Genomic DNA, 25,074 nt, shown 5'->3' on the forward strand with positions numbered 1-25,074 from the left:
GCCTCAGGAAGCTTATAATCATGGTGGAAGGTGAAGGAAGAGCAGGCATGTCACATGGCGAAAGCAGGAGCAAGAGCAGGGGTGGGAGGCACACTTTGAAGCAACCAGATCTCACGAGAACTCACTATCATGAGGACAGCATCAAGGGGATGGTGCTTAACCATTTATGAGACATCTACCCACATGATCCAATCACCTCCCACCAGGCCTCACCTCCAATACTGAGGAATACAATTCAACATGAGATTTCAGTGGGGTCACACATCCAAACTATATTAGAGTTGTTAGAGCTCTTTATATATTACGGTTATTAATCCCTTGTCAGATGGGTAGTTTGCAAATATTTTTTCCCATTCTATGGGTTGTCTCATCATGTTGTTATTTCCTTTGCTGTGAGGAAGCTTTTTAACTTGATATGATCCCATTTGTCTATTTTTGCTTTGGCTGCCTGTACTCGTGGGGTATTACTCAAGAAATCTTTTCCTACTCCAATATTCTGGAGAGTTTCACCCAGTGTTTTCTTGTAGTAGTTTCGTAGTCTTAGATTTAAGTCTTTTTTTAATCTATTTATTTTTTTTGAGACAGAGTTTCGCTCTTGTTGCCCAGGCGGGAGGGCAATGGTGCAATCTCGGCTCACCGCAACCTCCGCCTCCTGGGTTCAAGCGATTCTCCTGCCTCAGCCTCTTGAGTAGCTGGGATTACAGGCATGCACCACCATGCCTGGTTAATTTTGTATTTTTAGTAGAGACAGGGTTTCTCCATGTTGGTCAGGCTGGTCTCGAACTCCTGACCTCAGGTGATCCACCCACCTTGGCCTCCCAAAGTGCTGGGATTACAGGCGTGAGCCACTGCACCCGGCCTAGGATTGTTTTTTCTATATCTGTGAAGAATGTCATTGGTATTTTGATAGAGATTGCATTGAATCTGTAGATATTTGGGGGGTAGTACAGACACTTTAACAATATTAATTCTGCTGGGCCAGGCGCGGTGGCTCACGCCTATAATCCCAGCCCTTTGGGAGGCCAAGGGGGGGGGATCCCCTGAGGTCAGGAGTTTGAGACCAGCCTGACCAACATGGAGAAACCCCATCTCTACTAAAAATACAGAATTAGCCAGGTGTGATGGGGCATGCCTGTAATCCCAGCTACTCGGGAGGCTTGAGGCAGGAGAATCCCTTGAACCCGGGAGGCGGAGGTTGCGGTGAGCCGAGATCATGCCATTGCACTCCAGCCTGGGCAACAAGAGCTAAACTCTGTCTCAAAAAAAAAAAAACAATATTAATTCTGCCAATAAATGAACATGGAATATCTTTCCATTATTTTCTGGGATTTTCAATTTCTTTTTTTTTGAGACGGAGTTTTGCTCTTTGTTGCCCAGGCTGGAGTGCAGTGGCATGATCTTCGCTCACTGTAACCTCTGCCATCTGGGTTCTAAGCAATTCTCCTGTCTTAGCCTCCTGAGTAGCTGGGATTACAGGTTCCCACCACCATACCAGCTAATTTTTGTATTTTTAGTAGAGATGAGGTTTCACCATGTTGGCCAGGCTGGTCTCAAACTCCTGACCACAGGTGATCCACCTGCCTCAGCCTCCCACAGTGCTGGGATTACAGGCGTGAGCCATCGCGCCTGGCCGATGAATGACCTTTTTAATGTGTCGTTGAATTTGTTTTGCTAGTATTTTGTTGAGGATTTTTGTATCAATATTCATCTGTGATACTGGCCTGCAGTTTCCTTTTTTTGATGTATCTTTGTCTGGTTTTGGTATCAGGGTAATACTGGCCTCAAAAAATGAGTTTGGAAGTATTCCCTCCTCCTCTATTTTTCAGACTAGTTTAAGTAGCATTGGTATTAGTTCCTCTTTAAATGTTTAATAGAATTCAGCAGTGAAGCCATAAGGGCCTGGGCTTTTTTTGCTGGAAGACGTTTTATTATGGCTTCAATCTCATTACGTTATTGGTCTGTTCAGGTTTTGGATTTCTTCATGGTTCAATCTCTGTAGGTTGTATTTGTCTACAAATGTATCCATTTCTTCTAGATATTCCAATTTATTGGCATACAGTTGCTCATCATAGCCACTAATGATCCTTTGAATTTCTGCAGTATCAATTGTAATGTCTTCTTTTTCATCTCTGATTTTATTTATTTGGATCCTCTCTCTTTTTTTCCTAGTCTGGTTAAAGGTTTGTCTATTTTGTTTAACTTTTCAAAAAAATCAACTTTCTGTTTCATTCATCTTTTGTATTGTTTTCTTCATTCCAATGTCATTTATTTCTCCTCTGATCTTTATTATTTCTTTTCTTCAGCTAATTTTGGTTTGGTTTGCTCTTGTTTTTGTCATTTGTTAAGATGCATCACTAGGTTATTTATTTGAAGTTTTTCTTCTTTGTTGATGTAGACACTTATAGCTATAAATTTCTCTTTTAGTACTGCTTTCACTGTATCCCATAGGTTTTCATATGTTGCATTTCCATTATCATTTGTTTCAAGAAAATTTTCAATTTCCTTCTTAATTTCTTCATTGACTCACTGGTCACTCAAAAGCATATTTTTTAATTTCCATCTGTTTGTATAGTTTCCAAAATTCCTCTTGTTATTGATTTCTAGTTTTATTCCATTGTGGTCAGAGAAGGTGCTTGATATTATTTCAAATTCTTTGAATGTTTTAAGTTCAATTCAAATTTTTTGAATGTTTAAGCTGGGCATGAGTCACCATGCCCAGCCAGTAATAAAACTCTACACACCTTGATTTCATCCCCCTGCTTTTTAACTTTTTGTTGTTTCTATTTATATCTTATTATACTTTCTATGTCTTTTTTTTTCTTGTTACAGAACAATAAACACCTTTATTACATAAGCAAATACAGAAAGGATGAGGATTTATTTGCCTTTCTGGGCCTTGATTTTCCAAAGATAAAACTCCAACTCCCAGGCCTCTAGCACATAGCCATCTGCTGGGCCACACTGCTCTGGCCTTGATGTGATACATGCCAGATGCTTGCCCTGCTGGAACTGCTCCTCCAGAAGACTGCTGATTTTGGCATTCTTTTTCCTTTCATCATATTTCTTCTAAATTTTTTTAGATTGTTTTTTGTTTAAAATCTCTTCCTCCTCAGGAGTCAGCTTGGCCCCCTTCTTGCAGCCCAGGGACAATGTATAGTGGGATTTTCACCACTGTCAGTAGAGTGTGCTGTCACTGAGCACGATGCAGTTCTTCAATAGCATCTTGGTACGGACCAGTTTGTTATTGGACACACTGTAGACAACATTGATGATCCTTGTTTTGCACCTACATCACTTGGAGCCCCAGGAGAAATTCCCCACATCCAGCCTCAAGGTACAGTATTTCTTGTTACGTCCCTGCACACAGACTGTGTGGACGCAGCGGGGGCCAATCTTGGTGTTGGCAGCGGGGCACTCCAGCTCATACTTCCACTTCTTGTGGGAGGGCTTACTCTTGCCCCTGTCTTGCAGCACTTGTGCCAGTTGTCACGAGAGCCCATTGCTCGACATCTGTACTATGTCTTGAAAAATTGTTATTGTTTTGATTGGTTCATCTTTTAGTCTTTCTACTTAAGAGTAGTTTACACACCACAGTTACAGTGTTATAATATTCTGTGTTTTTTCTCTGTACTTAATATTACCACTGAGTTTTGTACTTTCAGATGATTTCTTGCTGCTCATTAACATCCTTTTCTTTCTGATTGAAGTACCTTCTTTAGCATTTCTTGTAGGACAGGTCTGATGTTGATGAAATCCTTTAGCTTTTGTTTGTCTAGGAAAGTCTTTATTTCTCTTTCATGTTTAAAGCATATTTTTTCCAGATGCAGTAGTCTAAGGTTCCTTCAGCACTTTAAATATTTCATTCCACTTTCTCTTGGCTTGTAAGGTTTCCACTGAAGTCTGCTGCCAGACATACTGGAGTTCCATTGTATGTTATTTGTTTCTTCTGTTGCTTTTAGGATCCTTTCTTTATCTTTGAGCTTTGGGAGTTTGATTATTAAATGCCTTGAGGGGCCAGGCGTGGTGGCTCACGTCTGTAATCCCAGCACTTTAGGAGGCTGAGGGAGGTGGATAACTTGAGGTTAGGAGTTCGAGACCAACCTGGCCAACATGGCAAAACCCCATATCTACTAAAAATACAAAAAAAATATCTGGGTGTGGCGGCATGTGCTGTAATCCCAGCTACTCAGGAGGCTGGGGCAGAAGAATCCCTTGAACCCAGGAGGCTGAGGTTGCAGTGAGCTGAGATCACACCACTGTACTCTAGCCTGGGCGACAGAGCAAGACTCCACTCCATCTCAAAAAAAAAAAAAAAAAAAAAAAAGCCTTGAGGTCATCTTCTTTGGGTTAAATGTTAAATCTGCTTGGTGTTCTATAATCTTCTTGTACTTGAATGTCAATTATCTTTTTCTAGGTTTGGGAAGTTCTCTGATATTATCTCTTGGAATAAACCTTCTATCCTGTCTCTTTCTCTACCTCCTCTTTAAGGCCAATTACTCTTAGATTTGCCCTTTGGAGGCTATTTTCTAGATCTTGTAGGCATGTTTCATTCTTTTTTATTCTTTTTTGTCTCCTTTATGTATTTTCAAATAGCCTGTCTTCAGGTTCACTAATTCTTTCTGCTTGATCAATTCTGTAATTAAAACTGCTATTAAAAGAACGCTGATCCATTCTTCAGTATTTCAATTGCATTTTTCAACTCCAGAATTTCTGCTTGATTTTTAATTATTTCAATCTCCTTGTTAAGTTTATCTGATAAAGTTCGAAATTCTTTCTCTGTGTTATCTCGAATTTCTTTGAGTCTCCACAAAACCACTATTTTGAATTCTCTGTCTGAAAGGTCACATATCTTTGTTTCTCCAGGATTAGTTCCTGGTGCCTTATTTAGTTTGGTGAGGTCATGTTTTTCTGGATGGTGTTGATGCTTGTAGAAGTTCTTCAGTGTCTGGGCACTGAAGAGTTAAGTACTTATTGCAGTCTTCGCAGTCTGGGCTTGTTTGTGTCTGTCCTTGGGAAGGCTTTCCAGGTATTTGAAGGAACTTGGGTGTTGTGATCTAAGCCATATCTGCATTAGGGGGCACCCCAAGTCCAGTAACATCATGGTTCTTGCAGACTCATAGAAGTATCACCTTGTGGTCATGGATAAGATCCAGAAGTATTCTCTGGATTACCAGACAGAAACTCTTGGTTTTTTTCCCCTTACTCTCTCCCAAACATTCAGACCCTCTCTCTGTGTGCTGAGCTGCCTGGAGCTGGAGGTGGGATGACACAAGCACTGCTATGGCCACCACCACTCAACTGTGCTAGGTCAGATCTGAAGCCAGCATAGCACTGGGTCTTGCCCAAGACCCACTGTATCCACTACCTGGCTACCACCTATGTTCACTCAAAGCCGTAGGTCTCTACAATCAGCAGGTGGTGAAGCAAGACAGGCTTCTGTCCCTCCCTTTCAGGAGGTGAGTTCCCCAAGCCCCAGGTGGGTCCAGAGATCCCAACTGGGAGCTAGGGACTGGAGTCAAAAACCTTAGAAATCTACCTGGTGTCTTATTATACTGCTGCTGGGCTAGCACTCGAACCATGAGACTCAGTCCTTCCTACTTTTCCCTCCCCTTTCACAGGCAGAGGAGCCTCACCCCACGGCCACCAATGTCACAGGCCCATATGGATCACTGCCAGGCTACTCCCAATGTTCACTTAAGGCCCAAGGGCTCTTCAATCAGTTTGTGGTGAATGCTGCGTGGCCTGGGACTCACCCTTCAGGGCATTGGGCTCCCCTCTGGCCCAGGGCAGGTCCAGAAATGCCATCCAAGAGCCAAGGCCTAGAATCAGGGACCCCAAGAGCCCGCTTGGTGCTCTACCCCACTGTGCCCTACCTGCTACCTAAGACGCAAAACAAATTTCCCTTTACTTTTTCCTCTGCTTTTTTCAAGCAGATGGCATCTGTCACCATAGCCAACAGGGCTGTGAATGTGCTTGGCCTAACCTGGATAATTTCAGACAAGCCAGCATGCCTCAGAGTCTCACTCAAGGCCCACAGTGTACTACCTGAGTATTGCTGATAGTTATTCAAGGCCCAAGGGCTCTTTAGTCAGTAAGTGATGGGTCCTGCCATGACCGCATCCTTCCCTTCAAGGCAGCAGGTTCCCTTCTGGCCAACGATGTGTCAATAAATGTAATCCAGAAGCTAGGGCCCAGAATGGGGTTCTCATGACTCTGCCTGGTGCCCTATCCTAGTGTGACTGAGCGGGTATCCCAGATGCAAGACAAAATTCTCTTTGCTCTTCCCTTTCCTCTCTTCATGCGGAAGGAAGGGTCTCTTTTGGAGCTGCAAACTGTGCAGCCTGGGGTTAGGGGTTAGGAAAGGAGTGGCACAAGTACTCCCTTAACAGCACCTGCTGGTGTCTCAGTAGGTCATGTGCCCCTGCAGTCCACTGGATCTGAGCTCAGCTCAGCACTAGGACTTACCTAGGAGTTGCAGTCCTTGTGGCCTAGACTGCCTTTCAAGTTTATTTAGGGCCCCAGGGTACTTTAGCACTCCATGATAAGGCTTCCCAGAACTCAAGTTCTGATCACTGGGATGTGCGATTCCCCTCTGGCTGGGGCTGGCCTATATGCTCCCTCTGTGGGCAGGCATCACCTGAGTTCAGCTCAGTTTTGCTTTCCACTGTGACAAGGCAGCATTGAGTTCAATGCAAAGTCTCACAATCACTGCACTCTCCATCCCCAAGTGCACAGATTCTCTCTCCATGCCATGCAGCCACTGCTGGGATTGGGGGTGATTGGTATCAGCAATTCAAGACTCTTTCCTGCCCTCTTCAGTGCCTTTCAGTAATATGAAGTTAAAACAAGGTATTGTGAGTTCTCATCTGATTTTTTGGTTCTTATGAAGGTGTTTTTTTGTGTGTAGAAAATTGTTAAATTTTGTGTTCCTGTTGAGGGGTATGTTCAGTGGAGCCTTCTATTATACCATCTTGCTCTGTTCCCCCACCCCACCACCACCATGATCACTTTCTGAGGTAGCCCAATTTATTGTTAGCTAGCTTTTTTTTTTTTTTTTTTTGAGACAGAGTCTGGCCCAGTTGCCTGACTGAAGTGCAGTGGTGTGATCTCTAATCACTGCAGCCTCCACCTCCCAGGTTCCAGTGATTCTCCTGCCTCAGCATCCCAAGTAGCTGAGATTACAGGCATATGCCACCATGCCCGGCTAATTTTTGTATTTTTAGTAGAGATGGGGTTTCACCATATTGGATAGTCTGGTCTCGAACTCCTGACCTCTGGTGATCCACCCGCCTTGGCCTCCCAAAGTGCTGGGATTACAGGTGTGAGTCACTATGCCTGGCCAGTTAGCTCATATTCTTAGAAACAAATTTCTTATATTGAGCTGTATGTTTGTAACTTCTAGTCTCTGAAGCTATACAGAAAAAAGTCATATTCTTTGTTCATGTTTACTTATCTGGTTCCTTTAATTATTCCTGTCAATGAATTACTGTTTATTATGAGTTTATTATGTTTTAGGCATAGGCTTAAGATCTTTATATGCATTTAATTCTCACAACATTCCTAAAACATACACACTATTTCTATCTCCATATTACCGATAGGAACATGAAGATAAATTAGGTAACTTGCCAAATTCACATGGTTAATAAGCTGCAGAGATGGTATATGAACTCAGGCCTGATTGATGGCAGAGCCTATAGTCTAATTAAGTGAATCAGCTTCCTTCAAATTTCCTCACTCTCCTCTTGCTATGGTTTAAATGTGTCCCCCAAAAGTTCACGTGTTGGAAACTTAATGCCTCTGTCCTCATGAATGAATTAATGGGTTAATGAGGGCTGTGCCCTCATGATTGGATCAATGTCACTATCAAAGAAGTGGGCTCATTATCATTGGAATGGCTTTGTTATAAAAGCAAGCTCTCTCTGACTGTCTTGCCCTCTCACCATGTGATGCTTTCCATCATGTTATCACTCAGCAAGAAGGCCCTTACAAGATGTCAGCACTATGCTCGTGAACTTCCCAGTCTCTAGAACTGTGAGCTAAATAAACCTCTATTTTTTTTATATTTTATTTTATTTTATTTTTTATTTTTAAGACAGAGTTTTGCTCTTGTTGCCCAGGCTGGAGTGCAATGGCATGATCTCGGCTCACCACAACCTCCGCCTCCCGGGTTCAAGTGATTCTCCTGCCTCAGCCTCCCGAGTAGCTGGGATTACAGGCATGTGCCACCACACCTGGCTAATTTTGTATTTTTAGTAGAGATGGGGTTTCTCCATGTCGGTCAGGCTGGTCTCGAACTCCCAACCTCAGGTGATCCTCCTGCCTTGGCCTCCCAAAGTGCTGGGATTACAGGCGTGAGCCACCACACCCCAATTTTTTTTTTTTTTTGAGACAGAGTCTAGCTCTATTGCCCAGCTGGAGTACAGTGGCTCGATCTCAGCTCACTGTAACCTCGGCCTCCCGGGTTCAAGTGATTCTCCTGCCTCAGCCACCTGAGTCGCTGGGATTATAGGCATCCGCCACCATGCTTGGCTAATTTTTGTATTTTTAATAGAGACGGGGTTTCACTGTGTTGGCCAGGCTGGTCTCGAACTCCTGACCTTGTGATCCACCCACCTTGGCCTCCCAAAGTGCTGGGATTACAAGCATGAGCCACCACGCCTGGCCTAAACCTCTATTCTTTATAAATTATCCAGTCTGTAGTATTCAGTTATAGCAATAAAAAATAGACTAGGATACTTCTGTAGCTATTCTAGTTTATCAGTGTCCCTCTTTTTATTTTTATTTTATATGGAACACCTCACAAATTTGTATGTCATCTTTGCGCAGACACCTTACTAATCTTCTCTGTATTGTTCCAATTTTTGTGCATGTGCTGCCAAAGTGAGCACTCAAAGTCCCTCTTAAAGTGTGATCCCAGAATTCCATATGTTTGACCAGTGCAGAGTGAAAATTTTCTCTCCCATTTCCTAGACATGCTACATTTATTAAAGTATCCTAAAACTGAATTAGCCTTTTTGAGCAGCCTCATTTCCCTGTTCAATCTTACTAAGCCTGTACTAAACTAAAACTCCTAAGACTTTCTCACATGAAGTAGAAAATGTGCCTGGATATCCTCCTCCTTTCTTTGTTAATCTTCAAGACGTTGGCCAGGCTTCCCTTCATCCATCATTTCTCCCTAAAGAGTCTAGCTCTCAGTGATTGCTACTTCCAAGGAATTTACCTTATACTTTGGTATGCACTAGTTGGCACTAGTCATAGTTAGCCTTGCACTGTAATTATCCCAACATAAATATGCCTGACTTCCGGTTCTTTATATATGAATGCCACCCTTTAACATAGCAACAATTTCTGGAGCATGTTTTCTCCTACTGGCTATAAATAAAAAGAGCTGGGAAGAACATACAAGTGAGCCTTTTCACTACCTGACTGTTTTTGATTTGTATATTAGCGATTATAAACAGGCCGGGTACAGTGGCTCCCAGCACTTTGGGAGGCCAAGGCAGGTAGATCACTTGAGTTCAAGACCAGCCTGGGCAATATGGTGAGACCTCATCTCTACGAAAAAATACAAAAATTAGCCAGGTGTGGTGGCGCACACCTGTAGTCCCAGCTACTCAGGAGGCTGAGGTGGGAGGATTGCTTGAGCCAGGAAGGCAGAGGTTGCAGTGAACAGAGATCGCACCACTGCCCTCCAGCCTGGGCAAAAGAGTGAGACCTTGTCTCAGAAAAAAAAAAGAGGGGGTGGCAAAAACATGAATAATCATAGCTAAACTAAAAAATTTTGTAATAAAATCAAATAAATAAAAACTTGATAATTTCAAATGACTGGGTGAGAAACCACATGCAGTAAAGGAGAGAAACTGGCTTGAATCAAGAGATGAGGTAGTAGCTAAGGAAGAAGGCAGGCTCATTCTTGAGACTCTGGAAAGCTACAAAATGATACTGGCTCAGCCAAGCATTCCCAGGGACTGGTCCTAGTAGGGGGTCCACTTCTGCCCATGACTCTTTACATCCTACCTCACCCCAGGAACTCCCTCTATCCACAGACTTCACTCCACCTTTGAAAAAGAGAAGTCTGCGCTCCTGTCATCTAACAGGTGCAGATAGCAAGGGGATGGAGAATCCCAAAGTCCATGGCCACCCAGAAAGATATGTTTGCAGTTTTTTTAAAAAACCTTTAATTTTATCAGGTATTTTTTAAAAAATGGTTTCTAAAAGTTTTTTTTTTTTTTTGAGACAGAGTCTTGCTCTGTCGCCAGGCTGGAGCGCAGTGGCATGATCTTGGCTCACTGCAACCTCCGCCTCCAGGGTTCAAGTGATTCTCCTGCCTCAGCCTCCCGAGTAGCTAGGACTACAGGCATGCACTACCACGCCCAGCTAATTTTTGTATTTTTAGCAGAGACGGTGTTTCACCATGTTGGCCAGGATGGTCTCAATCTCCTGACCTCATGATCCGCCCGCCTTGGCCTCCCAAAGTGCTGGGATTACAGGCGTGAGCCACCACGCCCGGCTGAAAGTTTTTGCATTAGACCTTTGGACAGCTAAAAATGAGTTTGAAATCCAAGGAGAATAAACCAAATATACTTAAAGTTTTTGAAAGTAGCGAAAAGAAACACACACAAGATAAAGTTAGTTTTCAAAGAATGAGCTTATTAATAAGGAGAAGGAAAAAAATGAAGTGGAATTCAGTAAGAGGTAAAGTTTAGCAAAGTGAGCGCTGACTGAAGTAACATTTTTTTTCTTTTAAATGAACCTAACATTGTGAACATATCCAGGAAAATAAAACAAAACCAATAATTCAAAATGCATTTTTCCCAAAGAAATGCCTAGCAATTCTAATCTCAGTATTAATACAGCACTATGCTTCAGGTAATTTTGAGGCAGTGTTTTTAAATTAAGCACCAAAATAAAAGTTGTACTACTTACAGATCTGTATAAAGCACAATAAAGGCAAGGTTCTTCCCTAAAAATTCATTCATCCCTTCATTCATTCATCAACAATAACATGCCAAACCCTTTGATTTGTGTTGAGATCCCTCTCCTTAAGCATGTCAAAGTGGAGAAGACAACAAAGAAAATAAAAGTACATTGTGTTATAACATACTCTGTGCTTATGACATCCTGCTCTTCTGCTTTTCCTCCTGCCTTACCAGTTATACTTACACTACCTGCTGGTTGACTTTTCTCCGCACATCTAACCTTTTGCCCTAGGCCTTTGCCTTTCTCAGTTCACTTGCTCACTTGCGCTCTCTCCTGTGTTCTCTCTTGCCTAACTCTCACTCTCGCTCTCTCTGTGATTCCAACAATTCCCTATAGCTTTAAAAATCATCTACATGCTGGTGACTCCCAAATTTTTACATCTCCAGCCTAGACTTCTTCTCTTATATATCCAACTGCTATTAATGTATTTCCCTTTAAATGTTATATGGCACTTAAGCTCCAAAAGAGAATTATTGCTTTTTACCCCCCACCTCCTGGACTTCCTCAATTCTCTATAAATGGTACTACTATCCACCTAGCTACCAAAGCTAACCCAACAGCCAATCCTACTGATTCTGCCTCTGACACACATCTCTTGTAAACCTACTTTCCTCCTCCACTGTCTCCAGCCTTATCCAAACCACCATAAGTTCTCATCTATGCTACTGTAGTGGCATCCTCCCTGGTCTCTTTGTGTCCCCCTATTCCTGCCCTCTTCCTCTCCACCTCAGTCTATTCTTAATAGCCAGAGTGATATCTTTTAAATGTAAATCAGGTTTCATGTCACTTCCTTGTTTGAAACATTTCAGTAGTTTCCACTGGACTTAAAAATAAAATCTGAATTCTTTGTCATGGCCGACAAGGCCCTACACTATCTGCTCCCACCTCCCTCTCCATCTTCACCTGATACTACCCTTCCCCAGGTTCATGATACTCTAGAGATGTTGGTCTTTGTCAGTTCCTAGAATGTACTGAAAGCATTCACATTTCAGGGATTTCATGCTTGCTATCCCCTTTGCTAGAGAGCTTTTCTCATGTTTACTTAGATGACAGTCTTCTTCTCATTCTCTGGATCTCTCCTTACATATTACCTCCACAGGCCTTTCCTGTGGTGCTCCTGGGAATATCTTCTCTCTATCCCACTGTCTTATTTCTTTCCTTTTCCTTTTTTTTTTTTTTTTGAGATGGACTCTTGCTCTGTCACCCAGGCTGGAGTGCAGTGGCACAATCTTGGCTCACTGCAACCTCCGCCTCCCAGGTTCAAGTGTTTCTCCTGCCTCAGCCTCCCGAGTAGCTGGGACTACAGGTGCCTGCCACCATACCCGGCTAATTTTTTGTATTTTTTTTAGTAGAGACAGGGTTTCACTGTGTTAGCCAGGATGGTCTTGATCTTCTGACCTTGTGATCTGCCCGCCTCAGCCTCCCAAAGTGCTGGGATTACAGGAGTGAGCCACCGTGCCCGGCCCCACTGTCTTATTTCTTCGTAGCATCTATCATCATCTAAAAGGTTAACATGACTTTTTTGTTTTTTACATATTTACTATCTGTTTCCTCTCACTAGCATACAAACAACTTAAAGACACAATCCTTTCTGTTGTGTTTTCTTTTTTCTTTTTTTTGAGATGGAGTCTCGCTCTGTTGCCAGGCTGGAGTGCAATGGCTCGCTCTCAGTTCACTGTAACCTCCACCTCCCCGGTTCAAGCTATTCTCATGTCTCAGCCTCTCCAGTAGCTGGGATTACAGATGCCCGCCAAGACGCCTGGCTAATTTTTGTATTTTTAGTAGAGACAGGGTTTTGCCATGTTGGTCAGGTTGGCCTCGTACTCCTGACCTCAGGTGATTCACCTGCCTCGGCCTCCCAAAGTGCTGGGATTACAGGTGTAAGCCACCGTCTGTTGTGTTTTCTATGGTCTCCTCAGTAACAGGTATCTGTGTAACAGCAGATACTTACTATCTGCTAAATAAACTGTTGTGAGAGAAATGCGTGCATGAAAGGGATTAGGAGAAGGCTTTCTAGAGGAGGTGATCCATAAACTAAACCTGGAAGAACAAGGATAAGTATTCAGGCAGACAGTGCAGTGAGGGAAATTGCAGAGCGTATCTCTAAACTGTGAAAAATACAGTATATTTGTGAAACTGCAAGCAGTTCAACATGATAATGCAAGATAATGAAAAGTTATGGAGTAAAAACAATCTAGGCCTGATGCAGTGGCTCATGCCTGTAATTCCAGCACTTTGGGAGGCCAAGGCAGATGGATCACTTAAGCCCAGGAATTTGAGACCAGACTGGGCAACATGGCGAAACCATGTCTCTTCAAAAATACAAAAAATTAGCCAGGTGTGGTGGTGTACGCCTGTAGTCCCAGCCACTTGAGAGGCTAAGATGGGAGGATCACGAGAGTCCAGGAGGTTGAGGCTCCAGTGAGCTGAGATCGTGCCACTATACTCCAGCCTGGGTGACAGAGCAAGACCCTGTCTCAAAAAGAAAAAAAAAAAGGAACAATGTATAATTCCTAGAGAACTCCCTTCTCTAAATCTACTGAAACACTGAATAGAATCTTAGGAATGAAGGAGGAATGCATCTCTCCCCCTCCCTTTTATTTTTTTGAGATGGAGTCTCGTTTTGTCACCCAGGCTGGAGTGCAGTGGTGTGATCTCAGCTCACTGCAACCTCCCCATCCCAGGTTCAAGAGATTCTCCTGCCTCCGCCTCCTGAGTAGCTGGGATTACAGGCACCTGCCACCACGCCAAGCTAATTTTTTGTATTTTTAGTAGAGATGGGTTTCACCATGTTGGCCAGGCTGGTCTTGAACTCCTGACCTCAGGTAACCCATCCACCTCAGCCTCCCAAAGTGGTAGGATTACAGGTGTGAGCCACTGCACCCGGCCTCTCTTTTTCTTTTAAGACTATTTTTGTCTGCTTGTTTGAGATAGGGTCTCATGCCATTGCTCATTGCTGGGAGTGCAATGATGCCATCACATCTTGCACACTACAGCTTTGACCTCCTGGGCTCAACCAATACTCCTGCCTCTGCCTCCCAAGTAGTTAGGACCACAGGCATGCCCCACCACACCTGGCTAATTTTTTTTTTTTTATAGCGATGAGGGTCTCACTACCTTGCTCAGACTCATCTCAAATTCCTGGGCTCAAGCAATCCTCCCACTGTGGCCTCCCAAAATGCTGAGATTACAGGCATGTAATCTTTTTTTTTTTTCTGTCTAAGTCTTGAATACTTAAGCATCTCTAATAGTACATATACTGATATTAGTTTATATACCCTATAAATGTATATTTAAATATGAGTAAATTATTGCTGGACTAATACAAATGTAAATCTAAAGAAGGTATATGATTAATAGACCTGTTTAATTGTAAGGAAAGTAAAATTAGCAAAAATTAAAATTATTAAATTGGCAATGATACTTAGCTGCAAAAAAAGGTTTTTAAATAAGGCCGACCAAGAAAGGAAAGAGAATGTAGAAAGGGAAACAGAAATCCACCAAAGAGAAAACCTCATTTTATAGTTTAAGTGTTGGCTTGGAATTTTGTAAATGAAATCCATGTATTTTTCTTTTTATTTATCCCTAGAAACCAGCAGAATCGGCTGTCTAGGAAATTCTCAGTAACTGTCTAATTGAACTGAACCAACCTCATCACAGCCTTTGGCAGCAGGTACCCAAATTAGTTTTAATTTCCACTAAACTGGGGGGGGGGGGGGCGGTGAGTAGGATGTTGAACTCTGTTTCCTTTTGTAGCAAAAAAATTTCAAATATAAGTAGTTTCAAGATATTTTATTAAGTATTTGTTCAAATTGTAGGGGTTCAGTTATTTGATTTTACTTTCAGGGACCAGTATGGTTATAATATATTGAAAGGAGGAATAATGTGGTGCTTAAAGAATGTGAACTTTAGAACCAGACCAACCAGGTCCAAATCCCAGCTGTGCAACCTTAGGCAAGTTACTTAACTTCTCTATACCTCAGTATACTCATCTAAACAATGGAGCTAACAATAGTACCTACCTTATAGGATTGTTGCAAGAAGTATAGGCGATAAGAACAATGTCTGTCAGTGTACAGTGTATAATATTTGCTACCATTACAATTACTTTTCAATTGTTTTTCTAATTAACTTGAAAATAGTATTTTACCCATGAACAACCTCCACAGTTAAAACTTTTTAGGAGAATATGAACACTAATCATTTTACTTGAATTCCAAGCAAGAATTATCTACTAATATGCTACTTACACTAACTGATTAATTTTCTGCTGCTGCTCCTTGGATCTTCTGTATTTTAGCAGCTTACTTTGTGTTGGTGTATCAACGCCTATGTTTTCTGGGAGATGGACAATGGGGGGTAACTTCAAGTTCAGAGCTTCCTTTTCTGCTGCAATGGCAGCTTTGTTTGCATCTGACATCTTGATCCCCTAAAGATTAAAATACTCTGTACTCTGAGGAGAAAAAGTCCATAAAGCCATTATTATGTCAGCAAGCCTCGACACATTCATAACATATCTAACATATCAATACCAAAAGTAAAATTCTAGACACTTTTGGATCTTCCTCCCAAGTATGGTATTAGTCTAAAGAATGACAGTTGAGGTAAGTTGGCAGGGATTCCTGTTAGAACTCTAAAACTCACTTATGAAGCAATGAGCCAGTCAGTTCCCCTTCAGGGCTTGTTTCCTAATGGATGAAACTAAGGAATTGAATTAGATGCTCTGTAAATATCCCTACAGCTGTAGCATTCTGGGTGCAAAATTTTCCCGAGATGCAAACCACTACCACCACCACCACAACAAATCCAGTTGTTGAGGGATGATCCCCTTCCCAGTAAAAGCTGATATTTAACATCATTAATGGTTTTTTTTTTTTTTTTTTTTTTTTTGAGACAGATTCTTGCTCTGTCGCCCAGGCTGGAGTGCAATGGCGCGATCTTGGCTCACTGCAACCTCCGCCTCCCAGGTTCAAGTGGTTCTCCTGCTTCAGCCTCCCGAGTAGCTAGGACTACAGGTGCGCAACCACGCCCAGCTACTTTTTTGTGTTTTTAGTAGAGACAGGGTTTCACCATGTTGGCCAGGCTGGTCTCGAACTCCTGACCTCAGATGATTTCCCGCCTCGGTCCCCCAAAGTCCTGAGATTACAGGCGTGAGCCACCGCCCCCAGCCAATCATTAATATTTTTAAACATCAGTATGATATCTTAGTCTTGCTGCCTTCCAAGAAAGTGATGCTATGATCAAGCAAAAAATAGGCATACTTGATGCATGGCAAATATAAAATGTCATGTAAATGCTCAAAAATTTTACTGTGGGCCAGGCGCGGTGGCTCACGCCTGTAATCCCAGCACTTTGGGAGGCCGAGGTGGGCGGATCACCTCAGGTCGGGAGTTCGAGCCCAGCCTGGCCAACATGGTGAAACCCCATCTCTACTAAAAATACAAAAATTAGCCGGGCGTGGTGGCAGGCGCCTGTAATCCCAGCTACTCAGGAGGCTGAGGCACAAGAATCGCTTGAACCTGGGAGGCAGAGGTTGCAGTGAGCTGAGATCCCGCTACCGCACTTCAGCCTGGGCGATAAAGCGAGACTCCGTCTCAAAAAAAAATTGTACTGTGATAACAACTATATTTGCCATGAATGCCTACAGGATTTGGAGATTCCTGCCTTGAAAGAGTGTTTAAGTTGGCACCCAAATCGCGATACCTGCCCTGGGAGAGAAAGGAAGAGAACAGCAGAGAACAAGTACCTGATTGTTTCTCACTACTTCCCCGCTGCGCAGACGCCAGAGAGAGAGAGAGACAGTCAGAGCCTCTCCTCAGGTGAAAGGCAGGGGGATAACGAGGGAGAAACCTCCGGAACGCCACCGGCTCTCAAACGAGTAGCTGGAGAAGGGCGGTCGCTGACCGGTTGGAAACAACGTCGTCGCCATGGAAACTGTGGCGGCCCCAGCTGGAGGGGCTGGGTGAAGGTTGCCTGGAGAGGCAGTTGCCAAGCTGCAAGGGGTTAGGATTACCTGTCACAACAATAATTCGTTACTCAAGTAAATGGGGTGTGAGGTTTTGTTTGTTTGTTTTAACCTAACTGCCTTTCCTGGGAAGGGGACCAGGAAATTAGAATCTTCAAACTGTGGAAAACTGCAAGACTGGAAATTTAGATCTGTTGGAAAACAGATTTATGGAAACACTCTCAGCAAGAGAATCAAGTCTTCAAATGTCCCCTAGTGACACCCTGTAAATATTGTAACTAATCAGCAATATAATTTATCTTGCTTCTAGATTTGCTATTTGTTGACACAGCACTTCCAGGAATTCTTTGGCAAAATCAAACAGGTTAAGGTGTGTGAATTTAGTGGTATGCTGGGAGAAAGATGTGAAATTTTGCTGTTTGAAGCTGCACAATGCATACTACATCTAAATGATAATAGCCTACGAGAATACTATGTGCCAAAATTAAATTAGGGAAGTGAATACTGCCGGTGTGTTAACAGCATATTCATTCAACAAATATTTGAGCACCTTCTATGTGCCAGTTGCTACGTAATTTTTTTTTTTTTTTTTAATGAGAGTACAGCCTACACTATTGTGTCTGGCACAGAGTAGGTGCTCTAAAATGTCATTTAAGCGAGTGAATGAACAAGTAAAACTTCCTGGTAGTTTGTAAAAGCAAATTATCTTTCTGTAGAAAATAAAATACTTGTATAAATAATGTGACTTTTTTTTTTTTTTTTGAGACAGAGTTTTGATCTTGTTGCCCAGGCTGGAGTGCTCACCACAACCTCCACCTCCCAGGTTCAAGTGATTGTCTTGCCTCAGCCTTCCAAGTAGTTGGGATTACAGGCATGCATCACCAAACCCGACTAATTTTTTTTCTTTTCTTTTTTTTTTTTTTAGTAGAGACGGGGTTTCTCCATGTTGGTCAGGCTGGTCTTGAACTCCTGACCTCAGGTCATCCGCCCACCTCGGCCTCCCAAAATGCTGGGATTACAGGCGTGAACCACTGCACCATGCCACCTTTTCTCTTTTAAACTCAGTCCTATGACAGATTAGACAGTTTTTTTAATGTCAATTTGTTAGGGTTTATTTTTTAGAGACAGGGCTCTCGCTCTGTCACCCAGGCTGGAGTGCAGCGGCACCATCATAGTGAAAGGAGTCAGCTAGATTTTGCATTAGGTAGATAGCAAGGGAAGGGTCCCCAGAGAACCCCCAGCCCATGGGTCAGTGCCTCATCCCCACATAACATAAAAAGCAGCCTGGGAAAAAATTCAAGCGGCAGGCACCAATAAGGGAACTAGCACAGGGTGTTGTGCCTGGAGACATGCCCACGGCTCCACAGATAGAAAAATCTCCAGCCCATTTGGACAAAAACTTGCACAGACCTCCTCCTCACTCACATAAAGGAACAAAGAAATGCCTTTGTCCTTTGTATAGTCAATGGGCTCCCAGGGAAAAAAAAGTTTATTTTCCTTTTGTGGGTATGGGCACAGTGGGCTCCAGTAGGTTCCAGTGGGCACTCTACTTTCCTTTATTTGGATTGTAAGTCCGGCTTCTAGGAATCATCACTTCAGCTCCTGATTTGTCCTGGGCCAAGGTCCAGGGCCAAACTTTCTCTTCAGTTCCTGATAGGTCCCGAGCCAAGCTAAGCAGCATCTATGAATCATCATTTCAGCTCCTGATTAGTACCAGGCCAAGCCCCAGGGTAGCGGGGTCGGGGGACGAAGCACATTCCTTCCCCTTCCCAGTCCATAAAAACCCTGGACCCCAGCCTCATAGGGGGCACCCCATTCAGGTCCCCCTCTCTGCTGGCAGAGAGCTTTCTTCTTTCTCTTATTAAACGTTCGTTCTAAACTAACCTTTGGGTCTGCGCTCCTTAATCATCTTGGAGGTGGGACAAATAACTCCAGGTGTTATCTCAGACAATGAGAAACTGTTACATCTTGGTGCATTGCTGAGACTACAGCAATAGCTCACTGCATCCTCAAACTCCTGGGCTCAAGGGATCCTCCCACCTTAGCCTCCTGAGTAGCTGGGACTACAGGCACACACCACGACATCGGCTAATTTTTAAAAATATTTTGTTGGGACAGTGTCTTACTATGTTGCACAGGCTTGCCTCAAACTAGTGGACTCAAGCAATCCTCCTGCTTCAGCTTCCTAAAAGTGTTGGGATTATAGGCATGAGCCACCATATCTAGCCTGAATGTCAATTTGGTTAGGCTAAATTAGAAGAACTAAAGAGAAGGCAGCAATCTTGTGTATGATATACCCACCTTCTCCCAGTCATTAATCAAACACTAATCTAGGGCTGCTGTGAGGAGATTACAGCTCAATTCAAGTCCCTGGTCAATTGACATTGATCTAAGAAGATTATCCTGGGTGAGCCTGACTCAATCAGTAGAAATCCTTTTAAAAAGATTTAGGCCTGGCAAAGTGGATCAACCCTGTAATCCCAGCACCTTAGGAGGCCGAGCCAGACAGACTTCTTGAGGGAGTTTGAGACCAGCCTGGGCAACATGGTGTAACTCTGTCTCTATTTTAAAAAATTAAAAATTAAAAAAATAATAATAAAGAGATGGGCATGCCCTGAGTCAAACTCCAAACAGCAGCTGGGTCTATAACTGCTCTCCATTTTCTGGTTCTTCCCTTCCTGACAGATAGTCTGCCCTACAGACCATGGACTTGGTTAACCAGCCCCCTCCATTGCATAAGCCAATTCTTTGTTTAAAAAAATATATATATATGTATAGACATACACACACACATATATAGATATAGATATAGATATAGATATAGATGATATGTATTATATCTTAGTGGTTCTGCTTCCCACTTTGAACCCTGACTGATACAATGTACGTCCTTTTTTTTTTTACTTTAAAAAAAAATTTTATTATAGAGACAAAGTCTCACAATGTTGGCCAGGATGGTCTTGAACTCCTGGCCTCAAGCAATCCTCCTGCCTTGGCCTCTAGATGTGCTAGGATTACAGGTGTGAGCCACCACGCCTGGCCGATGTACATCCTTTTTAATAGCCAATGTTTCCAAAAGTGTGTTCTTTTACAAGAACAGATTCCTCTTGAGCTTATACAAATAAATAATATTGCCATAAAACAAGAATACTCATGAATAGTTTCCTAATTCTGGAGATATCAGGTAGAGAGAAAGATAAATATTTCAATTTTACTCACAAAATATACCAAAAAGTTACCAAATTGCTATAAAACTACAGATAATGCAGAGAAAAAAAGTTTTCTTAACTCTGAAAGAAAATAATAATAAAAAGCAACGTTTCAAGCAAAAAAGTCATTAAAATCATTTCAGTCCTCATCAGTTCCGTCCCATGTAATTAATTTTTGTTCTACTTGATAAATTAGCAATTTTAAGTCCAGTTTTTACCATTGGAGTTTCTCAAGTTCTTATTCAGTCCAACTTAATAATCAACAGAGGCCTGTATTCCAGAGTATGTATCAGACTTTTTATCCTTCTCATAAACCTCTTTGAAGACACAATGCTTTAGGATTATATTTGCTTGCAAAGATCATTTAGAAAAAACATTAGAATAAAGCAATTTACTACGAACAACAAGATTTAGAATGGCTATGGTGAAAGACCTGGTAAGAGTTTACAACAATGATGCGATTGACAAGGAAATTTGTTTTTTTCTGTAGTCTATAACAAGTTTACATAGTAGCCATAATTATGACTGATAACATACAAAAAGACACATCAGACTTTTAGGAATCTCATATACTTTTAAAACACATATTAATAACATGTTCATATAAATGTAATGCAAAGGTTTCCTGTATAATTTACATATCAAATAAGCCTAATACGTCTCTCTTAGGCTTCCAGGGGCCATTCTGGGATAACCTAAGGTTAGTTTGAGGCCGAAAAGACTTAATTTAGAATTTGAAATTTGACTTTGGGAAGCCTGTCAAGTATGTCAAAGGATAAAAACACTCAATTAAAATAGAAAAGGCCAGGCTCAGTGGCTCAAACTTGTAATCCCAGCACTTTGGAAGGCTGAGGTGGAAAGATCACTTGAGCCCTGGAGTTTGAGATCAGACTGGGCAACATCAGGGGACTCTGTCTCTACAGAATATTTCTTAGCCAGGCGTTGGTGGTGTGCACTTGTGGGCCCAGCTACTTGGCAGACTGAGGGGGGAGGATCACTTGAGCCTAGGAGGTCGAGGCTGCAGTAAGCCATTACTGCACCACTGCACTCCAGCCTGGGTGACAGAGTGAGACACGGTCTCAAAAAAATTGTTTTTAAATGAAAACAAACGAGGAAAGTTTTAAGACATTTGATCAAAAGAAGATCATAGGTCACTGTAAAATAACAGTTATTCATTTAGCCAAAGTGAAAATTTAAAAGATTTTACAAAGCAGTGCTCATTTCGGCAGCACATAATATTAAAACTGAAATGATACAGAAAAGATTACCATGGTGCCTGCATAAGGATGACACACAAATTTGTGAAGCATTCCATAGTTTTTTTAAAAAAAGATTTTATAAAGCAAAATCCTTCACTTTTTCATAGAGAGAAGACTCAGTTTTCCAAATAATGAAAAGATCTAACAAAGAGAGCAGGGCCGGATGCAGTGGCCTGTGCCCATAATTCCAGGTACTCAGGAGGCCAAGGTGGGAGGATCACTTGAGCTCAGGAGTTCAAGGCTGCAGTGAGCTATTATGGCTGCACTTGTGAATAGCCAATGCACTCCAGCCTGGGCAACAGAGTGAGACTATGTTTATAAAAAATATTTTTAATTAAAAAATTTAATCAGGCCAGGTGCAGTGGGCCACAGCTGTAATCCCAGCACTTTAGGAGATTGAGGCAGGCAAATCACTTGAGGTCAGGAGTTCGAGACCAGCCTGGCCAACATGGTGAAACCCCGTCTCTACCAAAAAATACGAAAATTAGCCAGGCATGGTGGTGCGCGCCTGTAGTCCCAGCTACTTGGGAGGCTGACGTGGGAGAATCGCTTGAACCCAGGAGATGGAGGTTGCAGTGAGCCAAGATCATGCCACTGCACTCCAGCCTGGGCAACAGAGTAAGACCCAAAAAATTTTTTTAAAAATTGTTTAAAGACAGCATGAGGCACACAATCTGTTTCTCTCTCTCTCTCTTCTTTCTTTTGCAATTTACTCAAAAAGTGAACAAAATCTTTTACTATATTTTATTTTATTTTTTGAGACAGGGTCTGGCTCTGTCACCCAGGCTGGAGTGCAATGGCGCAATCTCAGCTCACTGCGACTTCAGCCTCCCAGGCTCAAATCATCCTCCCACCTCAGCCTCCAGAGTAGCTAGGACTACAGGCATGAACCACCATGCCCAGCTAATTTTTGTATTTTTGGTAGAGACAGGGTTTTGCCATGTTGCCCAGGCTGGTCTCAAACTCCTGGGCTTATGCAGTCCTTCTGCCTTGGCCTCCCAAAGTGCTGGGATTACAGGTGTGAGCCACCATACCTGGCTTACTATCTTTTATTAATACCACCAGAAAATCATGTTCAAATGAGAGAACCAAATTTAGTTTTGTATCAGTGTATTACTAAAGCAAATTTCAATAAAACCATAAGGCCAGGCATGGTGGTTCACGCCTGTAATCCCAACACTCTGGGAGGCCAAGGTGGGAAGATCTCTTGAGGCCAGGAGTGCAAGACCAGCCTAGGCAACACAGCTAGCGAGACCCCATCTCTACAAAAAAAAGTTTTTTTAATTAGCCAGGCATGGCTACATACCTGTAGTCCTAACCACCTGGGAGACTGAGGCAAGAGGATTGCTTGAGCCCAGAAATTTGAGATTACAAATGAACTATGACGACACCACCATACACCAGCCTGGGTCACAGATCAAGACCCTGCTTTTAAAAACAAAACAAAACAAAACAAACAATGAATAAATAAATATTAATAATAAAACCTTATAAACAAATAGATCCAGTCTCAGTCAACTTTGACCACATAAGAAATCCATAAGCCTTTTATAACCTCTTACAGTTTTTAAATTTTTTCTCCAACTTTTTATATCCGTTTATTTTTGTATACATTTTTCCATACATTTATTTTTATTTTTATTTTTTGAGACAGAGTCTCACTCTGCCACCCAGGCTGGAGTGCAGTGGTGCAATCTTGGCTCACTGCAACTTCCCCCTCCCGGGTTCAAGCGATTCTCCTGCCTCAGCTTCCCAAGCAGCTGGGACTACAGGCACGTACCACGACGCCCAGCTAAATTTTTTTTTTTTCTGTATTTTTAATAGAGATGGGGTTTCACCATGCTAGCCAGGCTAGTCTCAGAGTCCTGACCTCAGGTGATCCACCCGCCCTGGCCTCCCAAAGTGCCATATATTTATTCTAAGACAATCTTTAAATAACCTTTAATTAGGCAAAAGTTTTTCATTTTTTTTGTTATTGTTTCAGTGGCTAGAAACAATTTTTTTTTTTTTTTTGAGATGGAGTCTCGCTCTGTCGCTGAGGCTGGAGTGCAGTGGCGCAATCTCGGCTCACTGCAAGCTCCGCTTCCTGGGTTCACACCATTCTCCTGCCTCAGCCTCCCGAGTAGCTGGGACTACATGCCCAGCTAATTTCTTTTGTATTTTTAGTAGAGATGGGGTTTCACCGTGTTAGCCAGGATGGCCTCGATCTCCTGACCTTGTGATCCACCCGCCTCAGTCTCCCAAAGTGCTGGGATTACAGGCGTGAGCCACCGTGCCCAGCCAAAACAAAAATTTTTAAACAAAAGCACATATACTCATGACTTAACTTTTCCTCACTAAAAAGATATGTTGTTTTTATCGTACTCTGTATACAAAATTATTTATTTATTTATTTATTTATTTTTTGAGATGGAGTCTCGCTCTGTCGCCCAGGTTGGAGTGCAGTGGCGCGATCTCGGCTCACTGCAAGCTCCGCCTCCCGGGTTCACACCATTCTCCTGCCTCAGCCTCCCTAGTAGCTGGGACTACAGGCACCCACGACCACGCCCTGCTAATTTTTTGTATTATTAGTAGAGACGGGGTTTCGCCGTGTTAGCCAGGATGGTCTCAATCTCCTGACCTCGTGATCCGCCCGCCTTGGCTCCCAAAGTGCTGGGATTACAGGCATTAGCCACCGCGCCCGGCCACAAAATTATTTCTTACTTTCAGTAGTTTTAATTACATATATTACTTTGAATTTTAACTCTTAGTAACCCTAATTTCTAGTGACAACCCAGGAAGTCAGTAATTTTGAATTGTTTTATATCAGTATTTGCAGACAACAGCCACTTAATAATTTCTAAAAAGATATGTTTTCTCAAAGTGTTATTAATGAATCCAAATATATTTAGCTTTCTATATCATATGAAACAAGACATCAAAAAAATGAAAAAAAAACAGAACTTGAGAATAAGTGGGAAAAATGAAAAAAAGACATCAAAGTATATAAACTTAAGTTTAATAATTAATGTTTCAGTATTTTCACTTAGAAATAACTCAGACATTTTACTTTTTTTTTTTTTTAAGAGATGGGGTCTCGGGCCAGGCATGGTGGTTCACGCCTGTAATCCCAGCACTTTGGGAGGCTGAGGTGGGCATATCATGAGGTCAAGAGATCGAGACCATCCTGGCTAACACGGTGAAACCCTGTCTCTACTAAAAAATACAAAAAATTAGCTGGGCATGGTGGCAGGTGCCTGCAGTCCCAGCTACTCAGGAGGCTGAGGCAGGAGAATGGCATGAACCCAGGAGGCAGAGCTTGCAGTGAGCCGAGATCACGCCACTGCACTCCAGCCTGGGCGACAGAGCAAGACTCCATCTCAAAAAAAAAAAAAAGAGATGGGGTCTCACTATGTTGCCCAGGGCTCAAACAATCCTCCCGTCTCAGCCTCCCAAAGTGCTGGGATTACAGGCATGAGCCATTGTGCTCAGCCAATGCGGACAATTTATAATTATCTATTACTTCATTTAATACAGCATGACTTTAAGATTTTAAATTACTGAAAAAGTTTTGGAAACTATGACAAGTTTATTTGTAGATGCTTATCCCATTCACAGTTATCTAATTTACTTGTTCTTAACAACTGTATTTCATTTGCTTATGGAAAGCAAAACTAGC

The 25,074-nt window shown here is 42.4% G+C and overlaps 1 protein-coding gene and 3 pseudogenes across 9 annotated transcripts in view, besides 1 other annotated feature; 1 reads left to right on the forward strand and 3 right to left on the reverse strand.

Annotated features, from left to right (window-relative positions):
* The window catches only part of DNAH12 (dynein axonemal heavy chain 12), a 262,335-nt gene that overhangs the window by 233,768 nt on the left and 3,493 nt on the right, over window positions 1–25,074 (reverse strand). For 6 of the 9 annotated variants that reach the window (XM_011533468.2, XM_047447668.1, XM_047447666.1 and 3 more), the window contains exons 2-3: window positions 16,730–16,996; window positions 15,234–15,436 (exon numbers count right to left, since the gene is read on the reverse strand). In XM_011533468.2, coding sequence (XP_011531770.1) covers window positions 15,234–15,403 — 170 coding nt within the window. In that variant the 5' untranslated portion in view covers window positions 15,404–15,436; window positions 16,730–16,996. Of the gene's footprint in view, window positions 1–15,233; window positions 15,437–16,729; window positions 16,997–25,074 lie in introns of those variants that run through there. The other 3 variants (NM_001366028.2, NM_198564.4, XM_047447667.1) reach the window with 2 other exon arrangements.
* Window positions 2,826–3,506, reverse strand: RPS8P5 (ribosomal protein S8 pseudogene 5; annotated as a pseudogene).
* RNU6-108P (RNA, U6 small nuclear 108, pseudogene) lies at window positions 8,785–8,891 on the reverse strand (annotated as a pseudogene).
* Window positions 16,465–17,015: an enhancer, noted in NCBI's record as "NANOG-H3K4me1 hESC enhancer chr3:57529659-57530209 (GRCh37/hg19 assembly coordinates)". NCBI's record gives its function as "activates a minimal SCP1, AML or CMV promoter by ChIP-STARR-seq in primed H9 embryonic stem cells {active_cell/tissue: H9 hESC(primed)}" and the evidence as "EXISTENCE:reporter gene assay evidence [ECO:0000049][PMID:30033119]".
* Window positions 21,371–21,478, forward strand: RNU6-483P (RNA, U6 small nuclear 483, pseudogene; annotated as a pseudogene).

This window comes from Homo sapiens, chromosome 3 (assembly GCF_000001405.40).
Source record: "Homo sapiens chromosome 3, GRCh38.p14 Primary Assembly".
Classification (NCBI taxonomy): Eukaryota; Metazoa; Chordata; class Mammalia; order Primates; family Hominidae; genus Homo; species Homo sapiens.